This window comes from Homo sapiens, chromosome 8, assembly GCF_000001405.40.
Source record: "Homo sapiens chromosome 8, GRCh38.p14 Primary Assembly".
NCBI lineage: Eukaryota > Metazoa > Chordata > Mammalia > Primates > Hominidae > Homo > Homo sapiens.
The window spans coordinates 73,645,206-73,657,883 of NC_000008.11; the positions used below are offsets into that span (position 1 = coordinate 73,645,206).

Consider the following 12,678-nt stretch of genomic DNA (forward strand, 5'->3'; position numbering starts at 1 on the left):
AAGTAGAATTTAGCAACATACATAAAGAATCTTAGACCATGACCAAGTATCGTTTATTGCAAGCATACAAGGCTGGTTCAATGTTTAAAATTCAATCAATGTAATCTATCACATTAACAGGTCAAAAATGAGAAATCATATGATCAGTTAATTGATGCAGCAAAACATTTAACAAAATTCAACACCCATTCACGATAAAAAAAATTCTCAAAAAACTAGGAAGAAGAACATGTCCAGTTGGATTTAAAATATTTACTAAAAATCTACACCTAAAATCAGACTTAATGGTGAAAGACTGAATGTTTTGTACATGAAGAATGAGGCAAGGAGGTCCACTCCCACTACTCTTACACAACACAGTGCTTGAAGATCTAGCCAGTGCAATAAGGTAAGAAATGAAACACGTATTAGTCCGTTCTCACATTGCTATAAAGAAATACCTGAGACCAGGTAAATTATAAGAAGAGTTTTAATTGGCTTATGGTTCTGCAGGCTGTACAGGGAGCATTGAGGCTTCTGCTTCTGGGAGGCCTCAGGAAATGTACAATCATGGTGGAAGGCAAAGGGGAAGCAGGCACATCTTACATGGCCAAAGCAGGAGGAAGAGAGAAAGGAGGGAGGTGCTACAATTTTAAACAACCAGATCTCATGATAAGTCACTCATTATCACGAGAACAGCACCAAGGGGATGGTGCTAAACCATTCATGAGAAACCATCCCCATGATCCAATCACCTCCCACCCCACCCAACCTCCAACATTGGTACAATTGAATATGAGATTTGTGTGGGGACACAGATCCAAACCTTATCAAAATGAAAGGCAAGCAGATCAGAAACAAAGAAATAAAAATGTCCCTATTTAAAGATGAAATAATTGTCTGTGTAGAAAGAAACATATTTTTAATTACCTAGAACTAATAAGTGAATTAGCAAGTTTATAGGACACAAGATCAAAATACAAAAATTGAAATGTAGGTCTACATACCAGCAATAAATGCATGGAAGGTGAAAGTAAAAATACAAGAAAAGATTTACTCTAAAATTTACATGGAAAGGCAAAGAAAGCAGAGTATTCAATTTTGAAAAAGAATAAAGCATAAGAAACCACTCTATATTATTTTAACACTTATTATGTAACTTCAGTAATAACACTGTGAGGAGTTGGCAGAGACACAGAGTTCAACAGAACGTAATAGAGAACCCAGAAACAGACCCACACTAGTGTGGCCAACTGTCTTTACACAAAGGTGAAAAAGCAATTCAATGGAGGAAGGAGAGCTATCCAACAAATGGTGCTGAACAACTGGATAACCACAGGCAAAAAACCGAAACAAAAACCTTTGACCTAAACATGACACCTGATAAAAAGAAGCTAATTCAAAATGTACATTTAAATGTAAACCATAAAACCTTTAAAAGAAAACCTAGGAGAACACCTTTGGGGATCTAGATTTGGTGAGGAGATTTAGACTTGATACCCAAAGCACACTCACAAAAAAAACTGATAAACTGGACTTCATCAAAATAAAAAACTTCTGCTCTATGAAAAACTATGTTAAGAGGATGGAAAGACAAACTATGAACAGGGAGAAAAGATTTGCAAACCACATATCTAACAAAGGATTTATATCTAAAATATATACAAAACTCTCAAAACTCAACAGTAAAAAAAAAACAATTTTATAGAAAATGTGCATAAGACAGAGATATTTCACCAAAGACACACAGCCAGACACACACACACACACACACACACACACACACACACGAAAAGATGTTCAACATCCCTAACCATTATGGAAATGTCAAATTAAAGCCATAATGATATATAACTACACATCAGAATGACCAAAATAAAAATAGTGACAACCACAAATGCTGTGGAGGATGAGAAGAAACTGAATCTCTCATACATTCCTGATTGTGATGCCAGACAGTTCAGCAACTCTGGAAAATAGTGTAGCAGTTTCCTAGAACACTAAACATATATTTACTACACAACTGAGGTATCACACTCCTGTGTATTTATCCCAAAGAAATAAACATTTATGTCCATACAAAACCCATACATAGATATTCACAGCAGCTTTATATGTATAGCTAAAAACTGAAGAAAAACAAAACATCCCTCAATAGGTGAAGGGTTCAACAAACTGTGGTACACAGAACACTACTCAAAAACATAGAATACTATTCAAAAAGTCACATACTATGATTCCATTTATGTAATATTCTTGAAATGACAAAAGCATAGAGATGGAGAACACATTCATGGTTGCCAAGGGCTAGAGATAGTAGGGTAGCAGAGGTGAAGAGAAGAGTAGTTAAGGGACAACATAAGGAAGAGCTTTGTGGTGACAGAATAATTCTGCATCTTTTTTTTTTTTTTTTGGAGACAGTCTCACTCTGTTGCCCAGGCTGGAGTGCAGTGGTGTGATCATGGCTCGTAGTAGCCTCAAATTCCTGGTATCAAGCAACCCTCCCACCTCAGCCTCCCAAGTAGCCAGGACAACACACATGTACCACCATGTCTGGCTAATTTATTTTTATTTTTGTAGAGATAGGATCTCACTATGTTGCCCAGGCTGGTCTCACACTCCTGGTCTCAAGCTATCTGTCCCACCTGGGCCTTTCAAAAGAGCTAAGATTATAGGCATGAGTCACCATGCCTGGCCGAGTTCTGCATCTTGTTTGCTGCAGTGCTTGCATGAATCTACATGTGACAAAATGAAACAGAACTACAACACATACATTTACCAATGTCAGTATACTGGTTTGAAATATTGTCCTACAAGTCTGTAAAATGTAACCAATGGGGGAGACTGAGTGCAGAGTACATGGGCTTCTGTGTGCCATTTTTACAACTTTCAGTGAATCTCTAATTATTTCTAAATAAAAAGATTTTTCAAAAGGAAGACAGAATAACTAAATCAATAGTAATTAGCAGTATCTACATTCTCAAGTTTCCAAATACGTATCTTGAAAATTTACATCCCACATATACTATCATTCCTAGTATTTTCTTGAATGATTTTATTTCATGGTGATTTTTATTCTAGAAAAAATACGTTCTGAAGTGAGGCTTCGAGTGTTTTACTTCACAGTATCCAAAATACCCAATAACAAAATTATTTTGTAAAATGGGTTTGAGTCTTGCAGAAATAGATTTATAATCCAATTCTATAACTTACTTCATAAATGATACTGAGCAAATTAAACTTGAGTCTCTGTTTCTTCGTAACTAAAACAGGGATAAAATATATATACCTTGGAGAACCACCACGTCTGTGTATAAAGAAACTGGCAGTGTTCTACACACAGTAGACTACATAACTTTTACTGTTATCATCTTATCTCCCTGAAGGTAACACACATTCCTATGGGCAGGAACAATTTCATGTATTTCCCTTGAATCACCTTACTGCTGTCAGCATGGTGATAAGTATACAAAAAATACCCAACATGCAATTTTCTTTGAACTTTTAACTTCTGCCATTAAAATTACCCTTTTTCTTTACTGTAAATGGTTATCCTCTGATTTTCTGAAAAGGGTTAGGTTTGGAGTCTTTCAGTTGTGTCTTGTTTTTCAAATGCGAGTTTTCTTGTTTTTGTTTTTTAGAGACACAGTCTCTCTCTGTTACACAGGCTGGAGTACAGTGGTACCATCATAGCTCACTGCAGCCTCAAACTTGTTGGCTCAGGCGATCCTCCTGCCTCAGCCTCCCTAGTAGCTGGGACTACAGGCCTGCACCACATGCCCAACTTATTTTTTAATTTTTTGTAGAGACTAAGTCTTGCTATGTTGCCCAGGCTGGTCTCAAACTCCTGGCCTCAAGCAATCCTCCCACCTTGCCCTCCCAAAGTGCTGGGCCACCAGGCCAGCCTCCAATAAGAGCTTTTTGATGAAGCTAATATGTAGTTTCTAAAGGCATCAAGCCAAGAAAGAGTAGTTCAATGGTGTAATAGTTCAGAGATGCAAAACAAAGACCGAGATTTCCAAACATTCTGCACATCCCATATTCTTGTTTCTAACTCAGCCAGTTAAAAATATTTTTTTGATATCCAATAAGTGGCATTTTTCCAACGTCTCATCACTTCATACAGATCATTATTCTTGCTTACCATTTAAGTAAAGACTTCTATTTGTATTTAAATTGACTAACACTGCTCCCCATTACCCCTTTCTCAACACAGAGGTCCAGGTTGCCGACCCTGATCTTTGCAATTTTCTAGAAATTATCTCTAAACTCACCTATTCCTCATTATATTTGTTCCATCACAATAGAAATTATAAAAAAGATAATACCAGCCCCCACTCTGTAATTTGGTATCTTCTCTGAAGAATTTATTCTACTAATTCTTCTCCTAGTTCTAAACTCCTAAAAGGAACTGTCAAGTAACTATCAAATAGGATTAACAAACTCAACTTTAATACTGCTCACTAAGCTTCTTTCTCTTACTTATAAAAGTCATATTAAAATGTACTATGATGGACAGGGCAGTTTGTATGATATTATCATCAATATATCACAACAAAAGTTCCAAACACAACGCTTTAGATGTCTTTGAGAAGGTTTTAGATATCTTTGAGAGCACACTACTCAAAGATGCTCTTCTATATTTAATTTTTTATAAGTTAGTATATATGTCTTCTATATAATTTTATATATATATATATATATATATATATATATATATATATGGTGCAAAGATAGCACAGAGTTCCCACACACCCTTCATCTAGCTTTCCCTAACATTAGCAACTGACAAAAACACAGTAACACTGGTCAAAACTGGAAACTGAACATTGATACAACAGTATTAAGTAAATCGCAGATTTTATTCAAAGATTCTGTACTTTTTGAGTAACTGGTGACACTGGACTTCCAGATATGATGGGGATAACTGAATATCCAGATGTCTTGGGAGAATTTCTATTATCATTCCTAATTTAACATGGTCCCAGCTGCTCTATGATGAGCTTTGATTCTCTATGAGAGCATAGAGTCATGCTAACATAGAATCTTATGTTGGATGAAACCTTGGAAATCATTTAAATTTTTTTTAAGTATAAATTATGACCCATTAACAGGTCATGAAATAAATTTAATAAACCACAACTATAATTTTTTAATAAAACAAAATAGAAAATATTAGAGTATAATACAGATGTTATCGTATCATAAATTTTTTGTTTTAGTGATATATGTAAAAATGTATATGTGTGTGGATGTAGGTATGTATTTATATACTGGGTCACATTATTTTTAAAAATTCCTTAGCAAAGGTCAGAGTCAAAAATGTTTTAAAAGTCACTCATCTATATCAAACCAAAGAAAGTTCTCTTTAATATTCCTGACAAATGATAACCCCCATCTCTAACTAAACACTATTAAAGGTAGAATATTTGCTACTTATACATCAGACGGTAATACGTATTAGGACATTTTTAATGTGGAACCAACATTTCTCTGTTGACTTTTGATCTACAACTCACAAAAAGGGTGGGTTTTTTCCTTCTAAAGAAAAATACTGTGCAATCCTATTTCTTTTTTTCCATCAAATTAGTGAACAGAAGTTCTTACACCTAGAAATCAAAAGTTCCAAAAGAAAGTTTCCTTTTCAGTTCCCAAGAAGAGACTCTGAAAATAAAGGGCAATAATAGAAGAACAGAAAAATATATATGTAAGGACTCTAAATGGGAGAATAGAAGTAATGCCAAGCAAAAACGTCAAGTCGATAAAGGAACATCTTTGAGGAAATGATATAAATATTGGATCCTGCCCCTGGCCAGCCCTGCCCGGCCATGCGTCCCTCCTCCTCCCCACCTTGTGGCGGGCAGCAGCCCTCTAGCTTTGGCTCCGTGGACTGGCTCTCCCAAAGCAGCTGCTCAGGGCCGACCCACACCCCCAGGCCTGCCGAGGTCTCCCTGGGGAGCCTCCCTGGCCCGGACCAGGCATCGGGCCCCGAGGAGCCCCCTCAGGCCGTCAGCATCAAGGAGGCTAGGTCCTCAAATCTGCCTCCGCCAGAGAGGGCTATGGCTGGGTTGAGGAAAGGGCCAAACGCCTGGCGGGCCCCACTGTGTCCACACAGCCTTCACCACGGAGCAGGTCCGTGGCTTGGAGGGCATCTTCCAGCACCACCAGTACCTGGGCCCTCTGGAGTGGAAGAGGCTGGCCAGGGAAATGCAGCTGTCGGAGGTCCAGATAAAAACCTGGTTTCAAAATCGCCGCATGAAACACGAACGGCAAATGCAGGACTCCCAGCTGAACAGCCTCTTCTCGGAGTCACTGCACGCACCCCTGGCTTTCCACTCACCGTCTTCTGGCCTTGCCAATGGCCTGCACCTGCTGTGCCCTTGGGCACCCCTGCCTGGGCCCCAGACTCTGATGCTGTCCCCTGGCTCCTTCTGGGGTCTCTGCAAGTGGAACAAGAGGCCCTGGCCTCTGAGTGGGCCTGCTGCTGTGGGCAGCCTCTGGCGTACCACCCCCCAAAGCCCAGGAAGTGGCATGCATACGCTGGGACCAGCCCTGTCCACGGGGCCCTGGGGCCTGGTGTGCTCTGCCGGAGACGGGATGCATTTTGAGGAAATGCCTCTGACTCCAGGCCTCCCATACAGGTCTGTGCAGATTGCACCTGGCACCTACCCAGAGAACTCAGCTGTTCTGTTTACATTGTGGAGGCACCTCTCACCCTGACCCACGCAAAGGTTCTGGAGATTTCTGGAGAATATATTTATTAAAGCCACCTCTTCACCAAAAGTTACCAAAAGGGTTGGTTTAGGAAGTAAATGAAGGGTCAGTGTAGAGTCAAACGCAGAAGTGGGCTTGTTATAGGGAGGGCTTTCAGCATATGATAAAAGGGTAATTTGTTTTTTAAAAAGTGTTGGAAAAACTGGTTTTCCAGTTGGAAAAAGTAAAGGTTGTAGGCTTTGTGTGTAAAAAAGAAAACCATGAAGGATTGGAAGGGGGAAAAAAAAGAAATTATATAAATAAAATTATCAAACTCAGGCAGATAATTTCATAGAAGTATGCATTACTTACTAGCAAATCTTCTCATTTTGGAAAATGTTTCACTTTTTAATTTTTTTAGACACACAAATAAGAAGAAAAACTTCCACATTCAAAAGAAAGACTAAACCATGCACAAATGAACCCTTTCTGTTTCCTTTAACATACAAGAAAGTGATTTCATGAAATTTATTAAAACTGTTATTTCTGGCCAGGCGCGGTGGCTCACGCCTGTAATCCCAGCACTTTGGGAGGCCAAGGCACACAGATCACGAGATCAGGAGTTCCAAGACCAGCCTGGCCAACATAGTGAAACCCCATCTCTACTAAAAATACAAAAAAAAAAATTAGCCAGGCGTGCTGGCGGGCATGCTGGCAGGCGCCTGCAATCCCAGCTACTCGGGAGGCTGCGGCAGGAGAATCACTTGAACCTGGGAGGTGGAAGTTGCAGTGAGCAGAGATCGCGCCATTGCACTCCAGCCTAGGTGACAGAGCAAGACTCTGTCCCAAAAAAAAAAAAAAACTGTTATTTCTGTCCAATTCCAAGCAACCAAAGTACTTCATGTCATTAAATATGTATGTGTAACACACATACACATACATATATACATATAGATATTCACCAAACCATTATTCAACTATCTGGCCACTTCATTCTACTCAAAATGCAGATCCTTAGCAAAATTTATGACAGAAAAAAATAAATTCTGAAGTAAAAAAATTCACCAACTAGATAAAACTCGATGTTTTCCACAGTTAAGGGGACATCTTAGGGCGTAATTAAAGCCCTGCTACTCTTACTTTGCCCCAAATTCAAACAATAATATCGGTTTTCAAGATAATAGCAATTGAAAAGCATCAAAGAAAGGAGCAAGCAATATGCAAAGGTGCACTGACAAAAACAAGAAATAAGATGACAATCTGACTGACAACAATGATTTGGAAAGTAACTAAAAGCACACTTGGGTACTCTAGAAACAGATGTCTAGGATTATCTGGTATAAGGACAAACCATGTACATATCTCATGAGGCTTGTAATACTTATTGTTTATAAGGTTGATAATGAGTCAACAGCAAGGATTCTTCATGCTAAGAATTGTGGCATTTTCTATTTAAGGATATAAAAAATATATGCCATAACTTTTAGAAATATTTCTATCCAAAATTACTGAACTAAGTAAAGTTTTAGGTTCCAAAAAAAAGTGAACCCTCAGCAATGTGGGGAAGCTAGCTGTCCAGAACAATTATCCTTAAGGAGTGTGGTTAACTGTAATTCTTCCCTTCTTCTTTACTTCTTTCAAAAGTTCTATGACTATTCAAACCATCTCATAATCTTTGATGTTAATAGAGGGTAATGTGTTTTGGGTTGTGGGGACCAGTATTTAAATGACTGGACATAGAATTACTTGGGGAAGTTTTAAAAAACAGTGCGGTTCAAGCTCTGCAACCAGAAATTCTGATTTAATTAGTCCACATAAAGTCTGGGCATCAGAATTTTTAAAGCTGCCCAGGAAAGCCTGATGTTCAGTCAGTGTTAGGAACCACTTAGGTAAACAGTTTTCTTCATGACACCTTTAGGAGTCTTCAAGAGAGATACAGTATGCAGCATTTCCAAAATTTGTCTTCAAATCCCTTTTACCATGGAACATCTTATAACACTGACTTAGGTAACTCTTCATCTGAAAATCAAGGTAAATATTAAGTTTAGAATCAAGTTGTATAGCTTTTCAAACTTTGTAAAAGTTCTAATGTGGTTAGGAAGAGGGAAGGGGAGGGAAAAAATAAAAGGATGACTTACTTTTATCTTGCTACCACATTTTTTATATTACAAAAATTCCAAATGAAATATTTTAATTTTAACTTAAAATTTCATAGTTTATTTTAATCATGCTTATATTAAGCCTGTGACTCAAAAGCATTTACATGTTGTGAAAGCTAATTTCAAAGATAAAACCGTGCTGCCCTCTAATGGTTCAAGATAAATATTTTTACCTATACATAGTAGTAAGGTGATAAATACAATTTTATTATTTTATAAATGGGAGGATTACATTATATACCAGAAAAGAAAAATAAGATTTCAATTTTTGGTATAACTGAGCCCAAAAACTTAACTATGACTGCTATGTTCAAGCTCAAGACCCTTTTAACTGTCCAGGCACACTGGCTGACCCCTGTAATCCCAACACTTTGGGAGGCCAAGGCGGGAGGATTGTTTGAGCCCAGGAGTTTGAGACCAGCCTGAGCAACATAGTGAGACCCCATCTCTACAAAAAATAAAAAATTAGCCAGACATCATGGTGTCCCAACTACTAGAGAGACTGAGGTGGAAGGATCACTTGAGACCAGAAGGTCATGGCTGCACTGAGCCGTGATCATGCCACTGTACTCCAGCCTAGATGACAGAACAAGATTGTCTCAAAAAAAAAAAAAAAAAAAAAAAAGAACTCTTTTAATTATCAAACCTTTTTTTTTTTTTTTTTTTTTGAGACGGAGTTTCGCTCTGTCGCCCAGGCTGGAGTGCAGTGGCACGATCTCGACTCACTGCAAGCTCCGCCTCCCGGGTTCACGCCATTCTCCTGCCTCAGCCTCCTGTGTAGCTGGGACTACAGGCGCGCGCCACCATGCCCGGCTAATTTTTGTATTTTTAGTAGAGACGGGGTTTCACCGTGTTAGCCAGGATGGTCTCGATCTCCTGACCTCGTGATCTGCCCGTCTCGGCCTCCCAAAGTGATGGGATTACAGGCGTGAGCCACCGCGCCCGGCCCAAACCATTTCTTAAACCACCACATTTGCCTATGCATGTGTAAATCAGGATAAAAATGTACACCTCTTCTGCATTCTGCAATAGCCATCTCTAACTTAGCTTCTTTTTCAAATAAATCTATGGCAGTAGTGTTCAAACTTGAATGCTTGTACCCTACAAAAACATTTTAGAAAGTTACACATATTCTTGCATATTTCTTCTTACAGCTAAAGTTTTAATTCACATTTTTAAAATTTCATTAAGTACTTGCAAAGGATGTAGTTTCTAATTTACTGTAAATATTTACATTTTAAAATAAAATTATGTCACTCTTTTAAGTGTATCCAAAAACTGAACTATCATAGCAAGCTGACATCCACCTTTATCTACTCAAAAAATACATAAATTCTGTTAAATACAACAGAAATTTTACACCAGCTGTATCTTGTTTAACTTGCATTTTACTGCACTCTCTCCATTTCATCCTAATTTCATATTTTATAACTAAAAGTCTTTTATTCCTCATTCTACCATAATTCTATGCAACAAAAATAGATATATTAATTAAAATTATAGGAGTTTGTACTTCCATGTAAGTTAGAAAATATTTTGTGCAATGAGCCATTATTGAAATTATTAGCAGATAATGAAACAAATATTATAATTTTAATACATCTTTTTTTTTTTTTTTTTTTTTTTTTTGGAGACAGAGTCTTGCTCTGTCGCCCAGGCTGGAGTGCAGTGGCGCGATCTCGGCTCACTGCAAGCTCCACCTCCTGGGTTCACGCCATTCTCCTGCCTCAGCCTCCCGAGTAGCTGGGACTACAGGTGCCTGCCACCACACCCGGCTAATTTTTTGTATTTTTAGTAGAGACAGGGTTTCACCGTGTTAGCCAGGATAGTCTCAATCTCCTGACCTCGTGATTCGCCCGCCTCGGCCTCCCAAAGTGCTGGGATTACAGGCATGAGCCACTGCGCTGGGCTAATTTTTTTGTATTTTTAGTAGAGATGGGGTTTCACCGTGTTAGCCAGGATGGTCTCAATCTCCTGACCTTGTGATCCGCCCGCCTCAGTCTCCCGAAGTGCTGGGATTACAGGCATGAGTCACCGTGCCAGGCCACATAATTTTTAAACAAAAAGTAAAATATTAATGGACATGAAACTCACTGACATTTACAGAGCTTTTTTTCTTTATATTGATGTATCTAAGAAAGAATATTTCTTACTGCTAAAATGAGATAAGTTCTCAATTCTACTCTTATTTCACTTATTTCAGGTATAATCACTAAGAAATGTAATTCACATTAAAAACTAAATCACTCTGAGTTTTGTTATAACAAGGTCACTCAATTTTTTCTATGCCAAAACACACACTGTGATCTACCATCAGAAATTATTTTTAATGACGTGGCAATTGATGTTAAGTCCTCTCACAATTTGCTGAAAGCAAGTAACCAGAAACTACCTGACTTACAAAGGATGCATTACACATTTGCTACAATTATTCAGATTCTCCATTTCTGGGAAATATTCCAAAACAGTATTACTATGACTTATCAAATGATTATGAATTATACCTGCTATTGTTTCCCTTAGCAGTTTAATTTTATATAGTCCAAAAGGGTAGAAAACATCAAAATATTGTTAATTCCAATATCCTTTTGCTGAAATAACATTTGTTTTATAAAATGTTTTGATCTTATCATACACTTCAAATATATTTTACCCAAATGGTAGAGCTGCAAACAGCTCATTTAATTTATGGTAAACACCCGCTGTCAACCAAATGCCAAATCAAAATCTGCCTTTATTTCTCAACTCAAATACATTTCAGGCTTAAACAAAAAAGATTTTAAATTTGTCTCATAAAACAAGGCCCAAATATACACTACATACAAGAGACACCAAAAACAGAGAAAAGCTAAAAAGTTGTACTAGCTTAATGAAAACGGAAAGCAGTGATTGTTATGCTGATATCAGACAAAGCAGAGTTCAAGCAAAAAGGTATTAATGGCGAACACTAGGTATTAATGCTAAAACCTGCAATTCTTCAGTGATATATAACAGTTATGAATACCTATGCACCAAATAATGCAGCAGCCACCTGAAGCCAAAAACTACAGGAGATGCAAGGAGATATAAACAGAAGCACACAAATACTAAGAGATTTTAACACATCACTCTCAGTACAACACAGATCAAGTGGACAAAAAAACATATAAAAGACCAAAGCAACAAACTCTTACAGAAGATGTTATGCTGTATATGTGTGTACATATGATCCTCCATTTGATCTCAAAGAAAGCATAAGGAAGTGCCACAAGGTGGAGATATTACAGTCTCAAATCAAAATATAACAAACTAGAAATTAATAACAAAATTTTAAAAAGCAAAGGGCCCTTCTACTTGAAAAATAAACCTTTTATTAAGTAATTTGTACATGAAAGGGAAAATACAAACTAGAAAATCAATACTGAAAGAATAATAAAAATACTACATAGCAGAAACTATAGTACAAATGTAAAACAATGGTCGAAGGAGAATTCATAACCTTCAACAGTTATAGCAATAAACGTATTCAAATGAATGAATTAAATTCAACATAAATTTTTAGAAGGTATATATTATTACTAATTTCATATTAGATTTTATTTGCTCATTTTTTTCTTCTATATTTATATTGGTATTAGACTGCAACTTCCTTTTCTGTACTGTCTTTACCAGGTTTAGGTGTCAATGACAACTTTATTTGCTAAAAAGAATTCAGAGGCCGGGTACAGTGGTTCATGCCTGTAATCCCAGCACTTTGGGAGGCCGAGGTAGGCAGATCACCTGAGGTCAGGAGTTCAAAACCAGCCAGGCCAAAATAGTGAAACCTTGTCTCTACTAAAAATACAAAAATTAGCTGGGTGTGGTGGCG

At 37.6% G+C, this 12,678-nt stretch overlaps 1 protein-coding gene and 1 pseudogene across 7 annotated transcripts in view; one reads left to right on the top strand and one right to left on the bottom strand.

Moving 5' to 3' along the window:
• The window catches only part of STAU2 (staufen double-stranded RNA binding protein 2), a 327,112-nt gene that overhangs the window by 224,837 nt on the left and 89,597 nt on the right, over positions 1 to 12,678 (bottom strand). The window lies entirely within an intron of this gene.
• VENTXP6 (VENT homeobox pseudogene 6) lies at positions 5,776 to 6,935 on the top strand (annotated as a pseudogene).